Here is a 23,259-nt window from a genome sequence, read left to right on the forward strand (position 1 = left end):
GCTGATTGGACCCACAGGTCAGGAGAGGCACACAGAGCTGCCTCACGGTGCGCACTATGGGCGGAGGGTGGGGGCAACAAGACTAGTTCAGGTGCAGGAAGAGCCGGAGCCGTCAGTGTGCCCCCCAACCCACGTGCGGCTCGGAGGACAAGCCCCAGAGAGCAGAAGACAGCCCAGCCTTAGGCCTCCAGGGGCCCCAGGGCCTGCTGTGCTCAGTTCCACCCAAACCCCCGGACTCCCGGCCAGGTCCAGACACCACAGAGCACTAGGCAGGAGTGGCCAATGGAGGTTTGTTTCCATTTTCCCCAGATAAGACCACAGTTAAATAGGCCTCTCAGTGAACAAAACAGATCTCAAACACACACAGAAAGAGCAAACGCTGTGGGGAGACAATCAGGAAATACTGGAGCCAACTCCATTCCTCTCTCCCCTGCTTCCTCCTCATCCGGGTTTCAGGAAGGAAAGGTTTTTGGTTTTTTGTTTTGTTTTGTTTTGTTTTTGTTTTTTTGAGACAAAGTCTTGCGCTGTCACCCAGGCTGGAGTGCAGTGGTATGATCTTGGTTCACTGCAACTTCTGCCTCCTGAGTTCAAGTGATTTTCATGCCTCAGCCTCTCGAGTGCTGGGACTACAGGCGCCCACCACCACACCTGGCTAATTTTTTATTTTTAGTAGAGACAAGGTTTCACCATGTTGGCCAGGCTGGTCTCGAACTCCTGACCTCAAATGATCCACTCAACTTGGCCTCCCAAAGTGCTGGGATTACAGGCTTGAGCCACTGCACCTGGCCTACTTTATCTGTTTCTTTATATCCTGCCTGTCTCACCCCCTGGAATAATAATGGTAAACACTTCTGAAGCTCTTACTCTGTGCCAAGCACTGTTCTAGGTGCATCTGAACTCCTTTAACCTTCACTACTGTGAGTTTCATATGAGGAAACCAAGGCACGGTGTGGTTAAATGACTGCCCCAGATCCCACAGCTACTGACTGGCGGACATGGGACTTAAACTCACGTCTGTGCTTGTGGTCACTGCATTTTGCCACATCTCCAGGTTAGCCCTCCAGGCAGGGCTTACTTCCCTTTCTCTGCAACTCACTATCATGACCTCTGCCTTGCAGATTACCATTCCTGGTAGGCCCTGTAGGCACGGTTGTTGAAAATATTGAAATGAATGAGTGAGCAAAGTTATCCAATCGTTTATGTGTGGTGTGTACCCCTGGTGACTGATGGCACCTGAGCCTGCCCTTGTGTGGTTCTGCACAAGCATGTATCCAATTCATCCTTAAATGGCCAAGCCTCAGAGCTACGCTACAGAAAACTGAGGTTTTGGGACACTAAATAAAAGTAAATATTAAATGGTTCACACTTAGTAGTGGCCACATAAAATTCTTGTATTCATCATCATATTGGCCGGGTGCGGTGGCTGACGCCAGTGATCCCAGCACTATGGCAGGCGAGGCAGGCGGATCATGAGGTCAAAAGATTGAGACCATCCTGGCCAACATGGTAAAACCCCGTCTCTACTAAAAATACAAAAAATTAGCAGGGCGTGATGGCACACACCTGTAGTCCCAGCCTCTCGGGAGGCTGAGGCAGGAGAATTGCTTGAACCTGGGAAGGCAGAGGTGGCAGTGAGCCAAGATTGCACCACTGCACTCCAGCCTGGCGACAGAGCCAGACTCCGTCTCAAAAAAAAAAATCATATTATATGCAACTGTTTACTGGTGCCATCCCCTGGCTACAGGCTGGAGGCCTGTCACTCAGAGAAGGGCTGGGTGTGGCATTGGTTTGTGGAACCCAGGATACTCCTGAAAAGATCACTTTAAGTGGATTAAATTCAGTGTGTTGTAGAAGATCGAAGATACAGAATTTGTGTGTGATTTAAATAGACTTTTAAAACTTTGATCGAAACAGTCTCTGAAGATCCAGAGGCAACTGTGTGGTCAGCCCATCCTGCGTGGGATGATATTGGAGCAGCGTCATTTCTCTGGGGTACAACCCGTGGTTCATTGCCACACGCCAAAGAAATCAAGGACGTGAACACACAAGGAGTGAGGTTAAGAGCGGAGGTTTAATAGGCTAAAGAAAGAGAAAATCTCTCTCTTACAGAGAGAGGGAGTCGCAGTGGGTCTTCTGGTCCCTGGTGAAGTGCAGGTTTTATAACCGAGCTTGAGGAGGTGGTGTCTGATTTACATAGGGCACGAAAGATTGGTTGGACCAGGTGTGCCATTTGCATAACGTGAGAAGAACTGGTTAGGACTAGGTGTGGTGTTTGCATAATGTGGGAAGAACTGGTTAGGACTAGGTGTGCTGTTTGCATGGCACGTGAAGAAGCTGGCCGCCCCACCCTAATCTTTTATTATGTAGATGGGTTCTCTGCCTAGCCGGGTCACGTTCAGTTGCCTGTTTTTGTTTGTACTATACACGTGGTGACAGAGAAAGGGGAAGATGGCGCCTCCATGTTGAACATGCTGGCCCTCAGGTAGCCCTTTTCTATGGGCACAGCTGCCAGCATTCACCCACACAAGTTTCCAGCTTGCTTATTCATGTCTGCAGCATGATTTTACAGGCTACTCTTTGTTAGAAAATAAATGACTTTGGGGCTGCTTTTTGTTAAAAGGGAAATTCCGCCGAGGACTCTGTTGCCCTTTCCATCTGCCTAAATAATTTCCATCTCCTGTATCAATACCAACACCTTGGGAGATGTTAGCCACCAAGTACAAATGTCTCGTTTACTCTCATGCAATCATTAAAGGAGAAGACAGTATCATTCCCATTTTACTGATGAGGAAACTGAGGCTCCCCACTCCCTTGAGGAGATTCTTGTGGAGCCGGCAGAGCCTGGGAGATGAGGGCACAGGTCTGGAGGCTTCCTAGTCCTTCCTTTAGTTCTGTCTTCTGGACTTACTAGCTCATGTCCTTAGCTAAGTTATTTACTTCCCCTGAGCCTCAGTTTCTTATCAGGCGTAGCACTCACCACATCGTCTGTGATTAGATAGTTGCCTAAACGTGGCTTTCCTGACCAGATTATGAACTCTTGAGTGGAAAGACAACATTGTCATCACTGTATCCCTAGTGCCTAGCCCACTGGAGGCACAGCAGAGCTTGCAGTGAGTGCTTTTCGTTGAGTTAAAAGCATCTTCCAGCTAACACTGCTGTGTCTTTATGGCTTTTCCTATTTTTTAGTGTACAATGTCTATTTGCTGTCTGCCCCAAAATGAGAGAATCACAGAGTTTGTATGAAAATAGCACTGAATTCTTATTAAAACAAATCATCACACATACCCTCGGGTGGCAGAATAGCGACATGGAGTTTGGAGAACTGGGTTTGATACACGGCGCTGGCATTTACTTGTTTAAGTGGACTTTACTACTTAAAAAGTCCACTTAACCCTTCTGAGACTTGGGCTATTCTTATAAAGCAGAGAGTTAATCATGTTTACCTTGCAAGGTGACTGTGAGGATTAAGTGAGATCATTTCTGTAAAAATGCTCTGTAGAGGATGAGCCCCAGCAGGGCCGTAACAGAGAAGAGCGTGGTCACAGGAACACAGGCTACCTGGGGCTGTGGGGCCAGGCTCTGGAGGGACCGACACCTCTGGCCTCTCCTATAGATATTGAATTTTGACTGTGGCTAAGCCCAGATCCCACTCCATTTACAGCCACCCTCCCAGGGAACAGGTTTGCTCTCATGTGGACTGAATACATCACCTCAAAAAGCCAAGCCATCAGGGACTCAAAATCACGCACGGTGCCTGCACCTGCCCAGTGAGAAGGAAAGGGCTTTCTACAGCTGGTTAAAACCCGGGTTCAACAGAATCACTCTGAGCAGAGCCCTGAGCTGGGCTGGCCTCCACAGCCAAGTCTGAAGAGTCCGCACGTGCTTTCACAATCATTCACTGAGGCCGGGTAATGCACAGCCTCTGGCCTGGCTAGACATTTCCCCTTAGGAGGTCAAAACTCTCTTCTCCACCCAGCCATCCCTCTCTCCACACCCATCTCCTTACACACACCTTCCCATTTTCTTTTCACTCCTCCCAAAACCTGCCAAGAGACACTGCCAAGGGGCGGTGGCAGGGAGGATTACTTGGTGCTGGTGCTGGGATTCTTTATCCTCAAATCAGCTTTTACTGACTGCTTCTAAGGAGCAGCGCTGAGTTTACTCACCTGTATTCAGCAGGTGTTTGTTTGTATGCACGCCATGGTCAAAACCCAGCCCACCGCCCACAGCCCAGCAACTGTAGAAACCAGCATCCTTTAGGTGGGTTCTTAAACTGTAATGTGGCCCTGGGGTAATATTCCAAGGTGGTGCTTCAGAAAATGGATAGGTGCCTAAGAAAGCTACGTGTCCCACCCCTGTGCATTCAGAAATGTCATTTGTTCCCTTTATTGTGCCAGTTCCTCTCTCTTCTTATGACTTAATACCCCATTGTTATTTACCATCCAGGGCTCAGTCATATTATCCCAGCCACTGGGCAGGCCCAGACAGCCTGTGGTTTTTCTGCAAATCAGAGCTCCCAGAGGTCGTCTTTGCACAGACAGAGACAGAACTCGCCCTGCTCAGTGCTTGCCTTTCATGCTAGACAGTCAGGCCCACTCTAGCCCTCATACACTCCACTCAGAACCTAATTCTGTCCATGTCTTGGCCCCTATAATTCCCTTTGCTTGGAATCTCTTCCCCAACCCCTTTGCTTATCCGAGTCCTAGATCTAGATACTCCTCCCTCTTCTGTGTCCTATGGACCCTTTATTCAGATCACTATTTCAGCATGTGAAGAGCTTTTTGAGGACAAGCGCTGCTTCTTAGTCAGCTTTGTATCTGCAGAGCCTAGCATAGTGCAGGGTGTTTTGTGTGCATTCAATAAATGTTGGTTGAGTCGAACTGAAGGCATAGTTTCAGTTTTCATCCATTATCTAACACATATTTAGTGAGATACGTTATGCAAAATGATGTGCTACTTTCTACTGACTCTGAATTTTTTTTTTTTTTTTTGAGATGGAGTCTCACTCTGTCCCCCAGGCTGGAGTGCAGTGGCACGATCTCAGCTCACTGCAAGCCCCACCTTCCAGGTTCACACCATTCTCCTGCCCCAGCCTCCCAAATAGCTGGGACTACAGGTGCCCGCCACCACACCTGGCTAATTTTTTGTATTTTTAGTAGAGACTGGGTTTCACCGCGTTAGCCAGGATGGTCTCGAACTCCTGACCTTGCGATCCGCCCGCCTTGGCCTCCCAAAGTGCTGGGATTACAGGCGCGAGCCCAGCCTCCTGACTTTGAATTTTTATGGCATCTACTGACTGCTCAGAATCTGTGGGACATCCCGAAAGACCCCACATGTCCAGGCATCACAAACTCAATAAAGTCACCTTCCCAATGATGGCCATTTATTGTGTTCCCTCTCTTGGGGAAAGGCAGGATTCTTTCCAATGCCTGAAGATGCAGCTTTGTCTTGGACACTTCCCTGTCTTTTACCCTCCATCCTATCTCCTAAAATATCCTCAATCAGCCCTATCCTCTCCATCCACATTTCCATCATATCAGAGCTTCGTCATGTCCCACATAAAGCACTACAATCACTTCCTAAGCAGTCTTTCTGCTTTTAGTCACATGGTCTTCAAATTTGTTTTCTGGCTGGGTGCAGCGGCTCGCACCTGCAATCCCAGCACTTCGGGAGGTCAAGGCGGGAGAATCACTTGAGCCCAGGAGTTCCAGACCAGGCTGGGCAACATAATGAGACCCTGTCTTTTAAAAAAAATGGTTTTCCACATTGCCATCAAAAAAGATCTTTCTCTACCATGTCATGAACCTTGTTAAACATCTCACAAAGTAGCCTGGGCAACATAGTGAAACTACAAAAAAAAATTATATATATATATATATGCATGCCAGGCATATGGTACATGCCTGTAGTCCCTCCCAGCTACTTAGGAAGCTGAAACAGGAGGATCTCTGGATCCCAGGAGTTAGAGGCTACAGTGAGCTATGATCACACTGCACTATAGCCTGGGCAACAGTGAGACTCCATCTCTAAAAGCAAACAAAACAAACAACAGCAAACCTCACAAAGATTCCTATCACCTCCATCAGTAGTTCTCAAACTTTCAGACACAATACCCCCTTTTTAATAATAGATATTTTGTAATATCTCTGCTATTCTTCTGAAATAAAATCTGTAAATAATATAAACCAACCACATATAATTTAAAAATATTAGGTTGGTGCAAAAGTAATTGCAGTTTTTGCCATTGAAAGTAAAGTCATAGCAAAAACCGCAATTACTTTTACACCAACCTATCTCATTACAGTCTTATAACTATAATATAAAAGGAAAAGCAATGTACTATAAAATGAGACATATTTCTGGCCGGGTGCAGTGGCTCATGCCTGTAATCCCAGCACTTTGGGAGGCCAAGGTGGGCGGATCACTTGAGGCCAGGAGTTTGAGACCATCCTAGCCACCATGGTGAAACCCATCTCTTCTAAAAATACAAAAATTAGCCCGGTGTGGTGGCAGGCACCTGTAATTCCAGCTACTCGGGAGGCTGAGGCAGGAGAATCACTTGAACTCAGGAGGCGGAGGTTGCAGTGAGCTGAGATTGGGCCACTGCACTCCAGCCTGGGCGACAGAGTGAGACTCCGTCTCAAAATAAATAAATAAATACAATAAAATAAAATGAGATGTATTTTAAAGCATAAAACCTGAGCACCATTGCCCTCCAGCCTGGCCTCCCTCAGCCCCGTTGTATTCCACTTGTACCACCCACCCTTGTCCCACCTCTTCTTACGTTCACCCCACAGAAGTGCTCCCTCCCAGTCCCCACATGTTAGCTCAATGATGCTCCCAAAACTCCTCAAAATCCAGCCTCTAGACAGGGCTCGAGTCCCCCTCCCAGGCTTGCAAGCGCCTTGTGCTTTGACATCACAGTGCTGCTTCACGATTAGTCTTTACAGACTTATTTGTTACAGTTAAAAAAAAGATGAAATTTTGTAAACATCAAAAGTAGAAAAAACCAGTATAATGAGCTCCCATTTACCAATTCCCACATTTCTTTTATTATTTTTATTTTTATGTACTTTTTTCAGACAGAGCCCTCCGTTTACGGATTCCCACATTTCTCTTTTTTTTTTTTTTTTTTTTTTTTTTTGAGACAGGGTCTTGCACTGTTGCCCAGGCTGGAGTGCAGTGGCACAATCTCAGCTCACTGCAACTTCTGCCTCCCGAGTTAAAGCAATTCTCCTGGCGCAGCCTTCCCAGTAGCTGGGATTACAGGCATGTGCCACCACGTCCAGCTTTTTTTTTGTATTTTTAGTAGAGATGGGGTTTCACCATGTTGGCCAGGTTGGTCTCGAACTCCTGACCCCAAGTGATCCACCCACCTTGGCCTCCCAAGGTGCTGGGATTACAGGTGTGAGCCACCGTGCCCAGCCCGATTCCCACATTTCAACTGTTATCAACATTTGCCCCATTGGTTTTATTTATTTATTTCTTATTTTTTGTTTTTCTTTTCATTTAATTTCATTTTATTCCAGAAATAGGCTTGCCCACCCACTGGTTTTATATATCCACTTATTAATTTTTTTCCTAACGTTTTGAACCTAATACCTGATATGTTACATATTTCCTTATGAATCCTGAACATAAATAACATTTTATTACAGATGCGGGAGGTTGTGGTGGGAGGAGGGAGGCCTGCGAGGCCCATACACTCAGCTATGGTAGAAAAGGGCTGGTTATGCATGAAAAAGACCCTTATCAGGAAATTCCATGGGTTTTAGGGGCTCAGTGCCAGAAACTGGGGACAAAGACCAAATACGTTTTGTATTATGCCGCAGCTGGCATTCTTCTGGAATGAACTAATTGTAAGAATGGCTTTCTTCTCACCTCCTCACTTTCTGCTCTAGTATATTCATCGCTCACCAAGGAAGAGACGTTCAAGGCTATTACCCTGGGCAGCTGGCAAGACTCCATTTTGATCATAGTGCAAAGAGAGCTCCCAGGTGAGACACCTCCTCAATCCCAATGTCCAAGAATGTCACGAAAGCTACAATGATAAAAAGGGGTCGGCGGGGGGAAGATACACTACTCCTCATAATACTGATGATAGCAAAAATAATAATGGATAGAAGAGGTTTGCAAGAAAATATACCAAACTGTTAATGTTTTTTTTTTTAATGAGTGGTGAGATTATTCTTATTTTATATCTTGCTGTTTTGAGAAAAGGTATTGCTCTGTTGCCCAGGCTGGAGTGCAGTGGCGAGATCTTGCCTCACCACAACCTCCACCTCCCAGGTTCGAGCAATTCTCATGCCTCAGCCTCCCCAGTAACTGAGACTACAGGCACACGTTACCATACCCAGCTAATTTTTTTGTATTTTTAGTAGAGATAGGGTTTCACCATGTTGGTCAGGCTGGTCTCGAACTTCTGGCCTCAAGTCATCCGCCCACTTTGGCCTCCCAAAGTGCTGGGATTACAGGCATGAGCCATTGCACCCAGCCCATAGGCACTTTGACCTTATTTTGTGTTATGGGAGACATTCTTTTGTAGGAAAAGGAGTACTCTCACCCATCATTCAAGGCACCTACTTTACAAGGTCAGGTACCTGTTAAGCATGAAATAAGAACAAGCAGAGGTGGGTGGGTATTCTCAATGATTCTTCAGGCCCATCCACAACAGAGCACCTTCCCATCATCCAGCATCTCTCCCCATTCAGTACCCCACGAGCACGGTCAGATTCTTGTTCTTGCTTTTTCTGAACGTCAGGCACAGCCTCTCCATTTCTGCTAACACACTCTTTCTTAAAGAAGGCCCATCACAATCAAGGTTACCCCATCAGGCAAACATAACTGATGATGAAGCAGTCTTAATCTCCCCTCTAAGTGTGATGAGTTCACAGCGATATACTCACAGAAGGCTACTCACTCGTTTAGATTTAGATGTTCCTAAATCTCAGCCAACACTTAATATTTTTCACATCAACAGCAGCTCATCTCATCTATTTTATAGTTTAAAAACATAAACGTTTATGAGAACATTTAGAAAACATTCACAGTCAAAAATGGAATGATTGAAAATTACCCACAATATCATCACCCAGAGATAATCCTGCAGAATCATCCAGATCTACATCAAAGTGGGACGGGATGGGTATTTCGAAACCTTTTTATTTTTATTTTTGGTAATAGCTGCATTGAGATAATTCACATACCATACGATTTATCCATTTAATTCAATTGAATGAATTCAATTCAATTCAATGCATAATTCAATTGAAACCTTTGTTTAAACTTAATGTATCGTGGACTTTTTTCCATTTCAAAAGTTATAATCCTATACTACAGCATCCCCCTTTTTTTTTTTAGATGGAGTCTCGCTCTTGTTGCCCAGGCTGAAGCGCAGTGGCGTGATCTCGGCTCGCTGCAACCTCTGCCTTTGGGTTCAGCGATTCTCCTGCCTCAGCCTCCCGAGTAGCTGGGATTACAGGCGGCCACCATCACGCTCGGCTAATTTTGTATTATTAGTAGAGACGGGGTTTCACCATGTTGGCCAGGGTGGTCTCGAACTCCTGACCTCAGGTGATCCGCCAACCTCGGCCTCCCAAAGTGATGGGATTACAGGCATGAGCCACTGCACCCAGTCGTACAGCATCACTTTATTTTTATTTTTTTTTTTTGAGACGGAGTCTCGCTGTCTCCCAGGCTGGACTGCAGTGGCGTGATCTCAGCTCACTGCAAGCTCCGCCCCCCGGGTTCACGCCATTCTCCTGCCTCAGCCTCCCGAGTAGCTGGGACTACAGGCACCCGCCACCATGCCCGACTAATTCTTTTTTGTATTTTTAGTAGAGATGGGGTTTCACCGTGTTAGCCAGGATGGTCTCGATCTGACTTCATGATCCGCCTGCCTCGGCCTCCCAAAGTGCTGGGATGACAGGCGTGAGCCACCACGCCCGGCCACAGCATCACTTTTAATGGTGGCATGGCATTCCCACATATTTCTGCGTCATTGTCTAAATAATTTCCTATTTTTTTACATGCAAGTTGTCCCACTCTTTTTATTATCATAAAAACACTTTGACAAGCATTCTTAGAGCTAAGTCTTTGTTGACATCCTAATTGTTGGGATAAAATATGTGCAGATTTTCAAGGTCTTAATATATATCACCAAAGCTGGACCAGTGAAGGTATACTGCCACAAGCGATATTTTGCCACTACATTTTGGTTGTTCTTTGCTTTTCTTTTCCAAGGGATACCTATTTGAGTAGGGGTACAGGAAGGTTGTAATGATTTCAGGTCCATCAAACCCCAAGAGGCACATAGTGGTTAGTCTAACCAGTTGTATTGATTCCTATTTTATTTTATTTATTTCTTTGAGACAGGGTCGGGCTCTGTCACCCAGGCTCAGTCTCGGCTCACTGCAACCTCTGCCTCCTGGGCTCAAGGGATCCTCCCACCTGAGCCTCCCTAGTAGCTAGGACTACAGGTGTACACCCCCACGCCTGGCTAATTTTTGTATTTTTTTGTAGAGATGGGTTTTCACCGTGTTGCTCAGGCTGGACTTGAACTCCTGAGCTCAAGCGATCTGCCCCCATCAGCCTCCAAAAATGCTGGGATTACAGGCGTGAGCCACCACACCAGGCCTGCACTGGTTCCTTGAAGCAACAAACATCCGCAGAACAGTTACACTGGGAAAGGGCACCGGGGACCTCTGGAGCGCGGGGAGTGGCTGTGCACGGGTGGATCTAGTGGAGAGTGTGATACGCATCACCTCCTAGGACCTGTCATTGGAGAGGAGGAGGGATGCTAAAGGGAAGAACAGGGAACAGAAGTCCCTGAACCATCTACTGCAGCTTTGCCAGGGCTGGTCGCAGAGCTGTGGGAGTCTTGTCAATACTCTCTGTTAGCCTCACGGCCGTTTCCAGGGAATGGATTCCAGCTGACGAGAAAATGGACTGCTTTTTTCTACTGGCTTTTCAGCAAACTACTTCTATTTCCATTTAGACCGCTCATAGACTTGACAATTCCACCCAAGACAAAATATCACTATCAGCCTCAATTAGACCAACAAACACTCATTCGATATATTTGTCTTCGAAGACATTCAAAGCCTGCCGAGCCATGGTATAAAGAAACCACTTACCGACGAGACTATTCTCTGCCATTTTATGAGATTGGTAAGTCAGGCCAACTGCTCTTAACTCTCTGAGATTAACCTTGCCTGGGCCACAGATTAGCATCTCCTGTAGGCTTGCTGTCTCAGGGAGCCTGTTTGGGACCAGTCGAGTTGGAGGCATGGATATGTGTGTGTGTGTTTCTGGGGTGCAGGAAGAATTTAGGGGGCTTCCCAAGGCTCCCCGCTACCTAGTTCCCTGCAGAGGAGACTTCAGGGAGGATGGAAATGCATATATCCTTATTAACACACAGTCTCAAGTCTGACCACGCTTTCTTTTATCTTTTATTTATTTTTATTTTTATTTTTTTGAGACGGAGTCTCGCTCTGTCACCCAGGCTGGAGTGCAGTGGTGCGATCTCGGCTCACTGCAAACTCCGCCTCCTGGGTTCACTCCATTCTCCTGCCTCAGCCTCCTGAGTAGCTGGGACTACAGGCGCCGCCACCACACCCGGCTAATTTTTCTGTATTTTTAGTAGAGACGGGGTTTCACCATGTTGGCCGGGATGGTCTCGAACTCCTGACCTCATGATCCGCCCGCCTAAGCCTCCCAAAGTGCTAGGATTACAGGCTTGAGCCACTGCGCCCGGCCTTTTTTTTTTTTTTTTTAAATTAGAGACATGGTCTCGCTATGTTGCCCAGGCTGGTCTTGAACTCCTGGCCTAAAGCAATCCTCCTGGCTTAGTCTCCTAAGTGGCTGAGACTACAGGCATAAGCCACTGCACCCAGCTAATTGTTTAATTCTTTTTTATAGAGATGAGGGTCTTGCTTTGTTGCCCAGGCTGGCCTCAAACTCCTGGCCTCAAGCAATCCTCCTGCCTCAGCTTCTCAAAGTGCTGGGATTACAGGTGTGAGCCACCACACCTGGTTGACCACTCTTCACTGAGCCCCTTGTCACATGACAAAATCATTATTGTGCCTAAACATACTGTTAAGGGAACTTTTCTTATTCCCGATTTCAAACTTTATGACAATGATTTGACATTTGGAGGCATGTTTCAAAAATTCTAAGTTCCCCTTGTAATATGTGAGGCTGCAGCATGTAAAAAAATACTGAAAGGGGGCCAGGCGCAGTGGCTCATGTCTGTAATCCTGGCACTTTGGGAGGCCGAGGCAGGCGGATCACCTGAGGTCAGGAGTTCAGCACCAGCCTGCCCAACATGGAGAAACCCTGTCTCTACTAAAAATACAAAGTGGTGGTGCATGCCTGTAATTCCAGCTACTCGGGAGGCTGAGGCAGGAGAATCGCTTGAACCTGGGAGGCGGAGGTTGCGGTGAGCCGAGATCGTGCGACTGCACTCCAGCCTGGGCAACAGGAGCAAAACTGTCAAAAAAAAAAAAATACTGAAAGGGACTGAGGCTCCCCGACGTATAGGACCTTGGGGGAGGACATGTAGACACCAATTAAAGCATTGCTTGTGTTCCTGCTGTCATTGGTGCTTTGAATTTTAGTTCTTGGGATGAATTACTTCATTCACAGAGTTTTTCTTTTTTTTTTTTTTTTTTTTTTTGAGATGGAGTTTCACTCTGTCGCCCAGGCTGGAGTGCAGTGGCACCATCTGGGACCTCCACCTCCCAGGTTCAAGCGATTCTCCTGCCTCAGCCTCCCAAGTAACTGGGATTACAGGTATGCGCCACCATGCCCAGCTAATTTTTGTATTTTTAGTATAGACGGAGTCTCACCATGTTGGCCAGGCTGGTCTCGAACTCCTGATCTGAAGTGATCCACCCACCTTGGCCTCCCAAAGTGGTGGGATTACAGGCGTGAGCCACTGCACCTGGCCAACAGACTTTTAAAATGAGTAAACCTCAATATTTTGGAGGCTCTTACACTGTGGCAGGCACATATTTAGTCCTGAAAGCAGCTCCCTGAAGTAAAGTCCTACTATTTTCCCAATTTTACTGTAGGAAAAGCCAAGTCAGAGGCAGTTTATTAACTAGCCCCAGGTCACACAGCTAGGCGGTAGGAGAAGCAGAATTCAGCCCCAGGTCATTTCAAGCTGTGCTTGACTCAGAAGCTACAGAGCCTCTGTCACACCTGAGCGTCACCTGTACTATTATTTATTTAATAGTCTTCTTTAAAGAGTGTCTCTTTCCATTTACTTAAAATATGGAATGCCAAAGGAGATGGCCTGGGCTGGGCCCCTGGGTCCCAGGGAACAGCAAATGCAGCCATCAGGAAGATCAGGAAAAGGGAGGGAGAGGTGGATCTTGGGGGAGTTGAGCCAGGGGTAGGGGTGGCAATAGCCATGGGGGCCAGAGGTTGCCAGCAGGGGTTTGGGATGAGAGGCTTCAAGCAGGGCAAAGCTGGGTTCTGGAGGCTCCGAGACGACTGGAGCCTGATCACGGCGGGAGCTGAGGGGCTGGGGAGGAGGCTGGGGCTGAGGTCAAGGTCACTGGGAAAGGAGGTGCTGGGAGGGCGTGCAGAGTGGTAGGGGTTGCCGTCCCAAGGAGCCCTGGGGAGGGCTATGGCAATGGAAGCTGGGGATTAGCTTGACACGGGTTAGGGCTGAAGGATGTACGAGGCTTGGGGCAGTAGAAGTTGCTGGGGGCTGAGGAGGGGGCTAAAAAGAAGAGGTGGCCAGAAAGCATCAATGGGGTTCCGGTCCCCACAGAACTGGCTGAGCACGCTGTCCTTTCAAGACCAACTGGGAGTTTGAAAGCTGTTCCCTTTGCATAAGGAAATCTAGGTGCGCCTCCAGTTTCCAAAGTGACCTTCAACAGGACCTTCTTTGCAACTCCTCTGCTATGAGATCTCATAGACAGACAAACAGACACAAAAGGTGTTCTCCCTTGCTTAGTTTAGAAAACAGTTTTTAATTCTTTCCAAACCTATGGAGCTAAATAAATTTTAGCAAAGCAATGAAATACTCACCACCTGCTATGTATTGTGCCGGGACATAGAAAGTCCAGGAGATGATTTCAGTCCTGCAGGGAACTCACAATCCAGTTGGGAAGATGAGGCTTGGGAACTGACTAAATACCAAATAGAGGTGCAGGAGTTGAAAGATGAGGCCTGGCACAGTGGCTCATGCCTGTAATCCTAGCCCTTTGCAAGGCCGAAGCGGGAGGATCACCTGAGGTGAGAAGTTCGAGACCAGCCTGGCCAACATGGCAGAACCCCATCTCTACTAAAAATACAAAAATTAGCTGGGTGTGGTGGCACTCACCTATAATCCCAGCTACCTGGGAGGCTGAGGCAGGAGAATTGCTTGAACCCAGGAGGTGGAAGTTGCAGTGAGTTGAGGTCATGCCACTGCGCATGACAGTGACAGAGCAAGACTCCGTCTCAAAAAACAAAAACAAAAGCACACACTGTCACTTCTGATGTATCCTGTTAGTCACATACAGCCAGCTCTAAAGCAGTGTGCAGAGGATTACACAAGGCATGAATACCAGGGGGCAAGAATCACTGGGGTCCATGCTGGAAGCTGGTGACCCCAGTATGATTTAGTTGTTTGTTGAGCAACTGTTATGAACCAGACACTGCTATCTGCCGAATACAGTGACCAGGGAAGACAAGATACCTGCTTCCGCAGGGCTGACATTCTGGTGGGGGATATACAGCATAGCCAAGTGCATTTTTTTTTTTTTCAAATCATAGATTGTGGTAGTGCTATATGGGAAATAAGCAGGGAGATGAGGATAGCTAAAGGAAGTTACTTTAAATAGGGCAGTCCGGGAAAATGTCTATGCAATTTTAGCTAAGCCCTGAAAAATAAGAATGAGTCATATAAAGGGCATTTCAGGCAAAAGTAACAGTAAGTGCAAAAGCCTGGAAACTGGGAAGGGCTTGGCATATTTGAGGAATAGAAAGGAGACCAGTGTTGTTTGGTGGGTAACGAGTGAGAGTGATCAGACAACTGGATTTTATTCTACGAGCAATGGTAAGACATTGAAGGATTTTTAACAGAAGAGTGGCATCTTATATTTTAACGGCATTATTTGTATTACTCTGGCTGCTGTTTTTTTTTTTTTTTTTTTTTGAGACGGAGTGTTGCTCTGTTGCCCAGGCTGGAGTGCAGTGGCGCAATCTCATCTCACTGCAACCTCCACCTCCCGGGTTCAAGCGATTCTCCTGCCTCAGCCTCCCAAATAGCTGGGACTACAGGCGCGCACCACCAGGCCCAGCTAATTTTTGTATTTTTAGTAGAGGTGCGGTTTCACCATGTTGGACAGGATGGTCTCAATCTCCTGACCTCGTGATCTGCCTGACTTGGCCTCTCAAAGTGCTGGGATTACAGGCAAGAGCCACCGTGCCCGGCCCTCTGGCTGCTGTGAAGACACTGCTAAATGGAGGGGAAAAGTTTCTCAGGCAGACCACTGAGAAACAATTTAATAGGTTAGACCAGAGATGATGGTGGCTGGGACCAGCAGGGAAGATAAAGAGGAATAAATGGATTCCAGCGATATTTTGGGGGTGGCATCAACTGGACTTGGTGATATATTTGATATCAAGAACACTTTCACTTACCCACACATATTCCTTCAGGAAATAATTTGAGGGCCTATTTAAGTGCCAGTCAATGTGACAGCTTTTAGCCATACCACATGAAGCAAAAATAGACACAAGATTTCTACACTCAATAACCATGGATGGGTGTGGTGGTGCATGCCTGTAATCCCAGCACTTTGGGGGACCGAGGTGGGAGGACAGCTTGAGGACAGGAGTTTGAGACCAGCCTGGGCGACGCAGTGAGAACCCACTCCTACAAAAGAAATTTAAAAATTAACTGGGTGTAGTGGCCCCTGTGGTCCAAGCTACTCAGGAGGCTGAGTCAGGAGGACTGCTTGAGCCCAGGAGTTTGGGGCTGCATGAGGTATGATTATACTACTGCACTCCAGCCTGGGCAACATAGCAAGACCCCAACTCTAAAAAAATAAATAACCATAAAAGTCTACCTGCCTTAAATGCTATAAGGCAGAGTTTATATGGGGTTATAGGAGCATATAGTAAGTCAGAGAAAGCTTCCCTTAGGAAATGATGAGCCAAGAGCTGAAGGATAAGCTAAAAGTTAACTGGGCAGAGAGTGGGGAAACAGGTTCATAGAGAGTACAGCATGTGCAAAGGCCTTGTGGCAGGAAGGAGCATGACATGTTTGAGGAACTAAAAACAATAAGGGTGTGCTGGAGTATAGGAATCAGGAGGGATCATGGAGCAGGGTGCGGTGGAGGGATGGGAAGAAAGACCAGAGTATGAAAGACGTTACAGGTCATATTCAGGGTTTGGCCTCTAGTCTGAGAATAATGGGAAACTGTTGAAAAGTTTTAAGGAAGGCAGAAGTAATGATTACAATTTCATTTTGTGAGGGATAAAAGACTACAAATTGGGTTCAGTGTACACTGCTCGGGTGATGGATGTACCAAAATCTCACAGATCACCACTAAAGAGCTTACCATGTAACCAAACACCATCTGTTCTCCCCAAACCTATGGAAATAAAAAATTAAAAAAAATTCATTTTGAAAATGTTCCTCTAACTGTGGAGAAGAAAAGGAGGGGCAGGGTGGGGAGCAGCATGGGGCGAAGATTGAATGTGGAGAGTCAGGAGGAAATTGCAGTGGTTAAAGTTTTTTTCTTTTTTTGAGACAGGGTCTCACTCCCATTGCCCAGGCTGGAATGCAGTGGTGCAATCTCAGCTCACCGCAGCCTTGGCAGCCCAGGCTCAAGTGATCCTCCTCCCTCAGCCCCCTGAGTAGCTGGGACTACAGGCATGAGCCACCACACCCAGCTACTTTTTGTATTTTTTGTAGAGACAGGTTCTTACTATGTTGCCCAGGCTGGTCTCAAACTCCCGGGCTCAAGCAATCTGCCCACCTCAGCCTCCCAAAGTGCTGGGATTACAGACATGAGCCACCACACCTGGCCAGGTTAAACATTCTTAATTTTGGTTACATTGCTTGGAGTTTTAAAAAATCTGGACGCCCAGGCTATACCCAATACCAGTTAAATCAGGATCTCCGTGTGGGGCGGCAAAGTGGGGGTCCCAGGCATCAGTCATTTTTAAAACTCCCCAGATAATTCCATAGCGCAGCCAAGTTTGAGAAGCAGTGATTTAGGCAGCAGATGATGGGTGTTGGCAGTAGATTTAGATACATTTGAGAGATGCTTAGGTGGCAATGATTGTATAAACAACAATAGGCTGGCAAAGGGCTGGTCTGCAAGAGGCCTGACAAGCACTCCTTGAGGGAGTTTTTCACAGAATAAGAGAAAGAATATTAAGTTGTTTATCAAAGTATAGGCTGTTTATCCTAACCATTTGGCCAGTTTTTGTTTGTTTGTTTGAGATGGAGTCTCACTCTGTCACCCAGGCTGGAGTGCAGTGGCGTGATCTCAGCTCACCACAACCTCCACCTCCCAGATTCAAGAGATTCTTCTGTCTCAGCCTCCCGAGTAGCTGGGATTACAGGCACCCACCACCACGCCTGGCTAATTTTTGTATTTTTAGTAGAGACAAGGTTTCACCATCATGGTCTCGAACTCCTGACCTCAGGTGATCCACCCGCCTCGGCTCCCCAAAGTGCTGGGATTACAGGCATGAGCCACCGTGCCCAGCCTAGGCCAGTGTTTGATCAGATTTTCAGGGCAGAAGGTATGTCTAGATTAGCAAGGATTTACATTTATGTTCAGTTCTCTGAGGTGTCTGATTAAATATAGACCATGATAGATCATGGTTATTGCTTAAGAAATTCTTCCTCAGTTAAAATTATTTCTCAGCACATATAATTTCATTGATTTCCTTAGGAAACATTTTTTGGGCACTGACTATGTGCAAGACAGAGTGGAGGGTATGGAGAAGGCTCTGTCCTCAGAGAATTCATAGCCTGGGAGGATAAGATGGCCCCTCAGAGGAAAGTTACCCTTGTATTACTCACCCTGGTGCCAAATAATTCAAATAACTCATTTTTCCAAAATAAAATATATGCCTTTACCAACAGCGTGGCCCTTAGGCTCTCTGACCCTCAATATTCTCACCTGCGAAAAGCATAAAAATAGTATCTACCTAATAGAATTGAGATACCCATATAAAGAATGTAAGCATTGTGCCTGTATGTACTATTACTATGCCTTCAAAAATGTTAGTTACTATTAGTATTATTGATCAAGAATAATGTATGCCAGAATCAATATCTGTAAAATACTAATACAATGGAATTGCATATATCACTGAGATTAATTTCTAAAATCGGTGCACAAGGTAAAAATCATGCATGATCAAAGTAATCCTTGAAAAATATCTTAGACTGGCCAGGTGCGGTGGCTCACACCTGTAATCCCAGCACTTTGGGAGGCTGAGGTGGGTGGATCACCTGAGGTCAGGAGTTTGAGACCAGCTTAGCCAACATAGTGAAACCCCATCTCTACAAAACACACACACACACACACACACACACACACACACAAATTAGCTCACGCCTGTAGTCCCAGCTACTCAGGAAGCTGAGGCAGGAGAATTGTTTGAACCCCAGGAGGCGGAGGTTGCAGTGAGCCAAGATCGCACCACTGCACTCCAGCCTGGGCAACAGAGTGAAAATCCATCTCAAACAAACAAAAACTCTTGATTGTTAAAGAGTGATATTATATTAAATCATTAACATATTTGGAATACACAGAATCCTCAGCAAGGTGGTTAAAGTTTCTCTGTGGTTATCAACTAATTATTCATTTTATTTTCCAACAATGACTTTCAAAGGAGTCACCACCACAAATCCACATGAACAATAACTGCATTTTGTCTGATGATAAGGAAATCCAAAAAATCATTTCACACTTTCTTCTCATAGCATCCCCAATCTGTGTAGCACGTTTCAGGGTTGATAACACCCACTGTTCTCACAACATTGACTGTTGAGTTCACCTGGTTAAGTTGTGTATGATTCAACCCCATCGTACAGCCTGCAAGGATCATGAGGAGTTGCTGAATGGAATTCCTCACACTTCTAAATTACTTTAATACATTTCCAGAATATAGTGTAATTAGAAGGCCATCATTGCTATTTGACTCCATAAAAAAACTTGAAAAGTCATGTGGTTGCTGACTACAGACAGGATCACACTCGATTAAATCTAAAAATCCTCAAAGATCTCATTTCTAGTCATACTCCTTGGGTTAGTGAAATGTTATCCATTCTTAATATCCAGAAATGTTTATTTCTTGAGATACTGTTGAAGCACTAAGGAATGCAGACTAGAACAGTGAAAGATTAATGATTTTGGAGTCTGTTCTGTGTCAGATGTGGACTGCACCTCTTATAAGCTATGTATACTTGGGCAAATTAATCTTTTTGAGATGGCAATATCAGTGTACAACTGAGAATTACTCTGAATATTAATGTAATAAACTCTAATATTCACCTAATAATATAATAAAGTTTTGTTACAATGCAGCCGGGCGCAGTGGCTCACACCTGTAATCCCGCACTTTGGGAGGCCAAGGTGGGCGGATCACTTGGGGTCAGGAGTTCGAGACTAGCCTGGCCAACATGGCAAAACCCCATCTCTACTAAAATACAAAAATTAGCCAGGGGTGGTGGCGGGCACCTGTAATCCCAGCTACTTGGCTGAGGCAGGAGAATCACTTGAACATGGGAGGTGGAGGTTGCAGTGAGCCGAGATGGCGCCACTGCGCTCCAGCCTGGCCGACAGAGTACGACTCCGTCTGAAAAAAAAAAAAAAAGTTTTGTTACAATGCTTTTGAAACACTAGCCTTTGGTTCCTTGAGCAATAATTGTATTAAAGTGAAGCTCTCTTTGAACCCTTATTTTTAGATAAGCAAAATTGTTAATGATTATAGATTAGAGGTTATAAAATACAAGGGAACACCAATGGGTATGAATTTAGGAACGGCAGTATCACCCAAGGTAGGAGAGTGGGTGTAGACATGTGAAATCTCAAGTAAGACCAGTAGATTTTGAGTTCTGCCTCTGCCATTTCCTGGCTGTGTGGCCCTGGGCAATGTACTTGTCACTCTGTTGCTTCTGATAGCAAAAGGGATGGTGAAATAGATTCAAGTTGAAGAAAGATAAGGTGTAAAGTGTTTTCTTTGGCTGTTGTGTGGAGGTTGGATTACAGCAGGAGTGTAAGGAAGAGGAAAGGATATCAGTGTTTCAGGTGAAGTCCAGGTGGCCTGGACCAGGGTGTGATGGGGGAGTGAAGAGAAGTAGGAAGTGAAAATTAATTGGATTTGGTTGGTGAGAGAGTGGTCAAGGGTGACTCCCAGGTTTCTAGTTTGTGTTATTATAAGTAACACAAAAGAATGGATGAACTTCATTGATTTCTTTGCTTTTCTCTTTTTTTTTTTTTATTTTTGAGACGAAGTTTCACTCTTGTTGCCCAGGCTGGAGTGCAATGGTGCGATCTTGGCTCACTGCAACCTCCGCCTCCCGGGTTCATGCAATTCTCCTGCCTCACCTTACCGAGTAGCTGGGATTACAGGCACCTGCCACCACGCCCGGCTAATTTTGTGTATTTTTAGTAGAGATGGGGTTTCACCATGTTGCCCAGGTTGGTCTCGAACTCCTGACCTCAAATGATCCACCCGCCTCGGCCTCCCAAAGTGCTGGGATTACAGGCTTGAGCCACCACGCCTGGCCTATTTTCTATTTATTGTGATATCTATCATACCTGCAAAAAATATTTTGTATATATTCAATTTAAAGAGTAATAATAAAATACTTATTTATTCCTTAGGTCAGTTGTGAAAAATAATTCCCTAATATACTTAAAGCCTTTGAGTCCCCCCATCCTTCCCCCCAGACGTACTCTCTATTCTGAATTTGTGTTAATCTTGCCTTTGCTATTGACTGTTTTTACCATATACGTATCTATTCCTAAATAACATAGTGATTGATTTTGTATGGTTTTGAACTTTGTTTATTCTGTTTGGAGTTCATTGAACTTTTCTAATCCAAAGGTTTATAGTCAATAAAATTTGAAAAAACAAAGAAACCTCTGAAAAAAGAGAAAAAAATAATTTAGGGATGGCAATGAGTACAATTTGATACAAAATAATGCACTGATAATGTACGACTAAAAAGGTTTGGGGGTACAGAATGAGATGTCGACATGCAAATTTATGTAATTTATTTCATTTTATTTACATTTTGGCATAATTCAATAATATGCCTCTTAATCAGAGACTGAACCAAAGAAACAACCTTTTGACTGAGTCCTTTTTCCCACATTTTAAATGCATTCATTTGTCTTAAACCCCAAAAGTTATTTTGTTACTGTGCACAACTGCTAAAAGGACAGTGTGTTAAAAATTAGGAGTGAGTAGTCTTTAAATAAATCCTTAATTTGTTTTAAATTCCAGATTGGAACCAGAAATTAGCCACAGTTTCGCTGAATCCTCGACCGCTTAATTCACTGCCAGAGCTCTACTGTTGTGAAGAGAGAAGCAGCTTTGAAAGAAATGCTTTTAAACTAAAATAACCACGGCATTCGAACAAAATAACGTTTGGCATTCTTAGGTGGCCCTTTTAGACTAAGTTAATGGCAGCAGAACTACTTTCAGTTTCAGTGTGTATACAGATGGCTATAATCCTAAAATATTTACATGTTGCAAATTCTTTGCAGATTAAGTTGGTCAGCTTAGAACAGGGAATCAAGATCTATCCTTAAGAGAACTTGAATTTAAGCCCCACTCCCAGTCTTATTGCTGATGCTGGCAAGCTATCTTACATTTAGGCCAATGTATACGCAGGATCAGGTAAGAAGATCATTGTGTCTGCACAATAATTGCATCGCTGTTGGGAAAAATAAAAAAAAGAACCGGGGGGACATGGCCAATTATAAAGAAAACTGGCACTGGAGACCCTCAAGGGGCTCTGGATGGAGAAACCCAGGTGTAGCCTGAGGCTGTAGCGAGATGTGGGACTGATAAAAAGGATTAACTGAGAGTCTGTGTCCAGGAGTTAGCACCCCTATCTTGGCAAGAAGAAAGCCTGACAACTAGGCATCAGCTCCTCAGGCAGAAAGCTAAAGGGTCTTCTCTAGGGAGAGGAAAGAATCCCAAAGGAAAAAAACCTTACATTTGGCTTCTAGGGACCCCTGCCCTCCCCCAGTTCCCCAGCATACTAGTTGACTCCCTCCTCACTCACTCTAAAGTAACACCTATTAACTGATAAACTTCTCCCAAGAATGCAGAGTTCCATATAGTTTTCCATTGCCTTAGTCTTAAATGTGAAGGGCCAATCAATGATCAAATGATAGGGTTCTCCAGAGAAACAGAAACAGAATATATATATATATACATATATATTATTATATATCTATAATATATATTATTAATAATCTAATAATATATTATTTTATATATAATATATAAATAATAGATATATTATTAATAATCTAATAATAGATATATTATATATATAAATAGAATATATATATGTATTATGTATGTATGTATGAAATGAGGATTTGTTTTGATGGATTGGCTTGTGCAATTATGGAGGCTGAGAAGTCCCAGGATCTGCCATCTGCAAGCTGGAAGCTCGTGAAAGCTGGTGGTGTGGTTCCAGTCCAAGTTCGAAGGTTGGAAAACTGGGGAACCAATGTTGTAAGTCTAGGTCCAAGTTTGATGGCCTGAGAACTAGGAGTGCTGATGTCAAAAGACAGGAGAAGATGCATGTCCTGGCTCAACCAGAGACGGCAAATTCATCCTTCCTCCATCTTTTGGTTCTATTAAGGCACTCAAAGGATTGGATAATGCCTGTCCACGTTGGTGAAGGACACCTGCTTTATTCAGTCTACTGACTCAAACACTACTCTCCTTCAGAAACCCCTTCACAGATACACCCAGAAATAATGTTTTGCCAGCTAACTAGGCATCCCTTAGCCCAATCAAGTGAACAAATAAAGTTAACCATCAGGCCAGGTATAGGGGCTCACTCCTGTAATTTCTGTGCTTAGGGAGGCAGAAGTGAGTGGATCACTTGAGGAAAGGAATTTGAGACCATCCTGGGCAACATGGTGAAACCCCACCTCTACAAATAAATACAAAAATTAGCCAGGCATGGTGGTGCATGCCTATAGTCCTAGCTACTCAGGAGGCTAAGGTGGGAGGATCACCTGAGCCTGAGGAGTTCGA

The 23,259-nt window shown here is 45.2% G+C and overlaps 1 protein-coding gene across 9 annotated transcripts in view; it reads left to right on the forward strand.

The window, feature by feature from the left end:
* SPMIP3 (sperm microtubule inner protein 3) overlaps positions 1-22,193 on the forward strand; it is a 37,029-nt gene extending 14,836 nt beyond the window's left edge. For 3 of the 9 annotated variants that reach the window (XM_017000571.3, XM_011544125.3, XM_011544128.3), the window contains 3 exons: positions 7,902-7,997; positions 10,973-11,169; positions 21,481-22,193. In XM_017000571.3, the coding sequence (XP_016856060.1) occupies positions 7,902-7,997; positions 10,973-11,169; positions 21,481-21,599 (412 nt within the window). In that variant the 3' untranslated portion in view covers positions 21,600-22,193. The remainder of the gene's footprint in view (positions 1-7,901; positions 7,998-10,972; positions 11,170-21,480) is intronic. The other 6 variants (XM_011544124.3, NM_001012970.3, XM_011544129.4 and 3 more) reach the window with 3 other exon arrangements.
* Positions 22,194-23,259: the final 1,066 nt, after the last annotated feature.

This window comes from Homo sapiens, chromosome 1, assembly GCF_000001405.40.
Source record: "Homo sapiens chromosome 1, GRCh38.p14 Primary Assembly".
In the NCBI taxonomy this organism is placed as follows: Eukaryota; Metazoa; Chordata; class Mammalia; order Primates; family Hominidae; genus Homo; species Homo sapiens.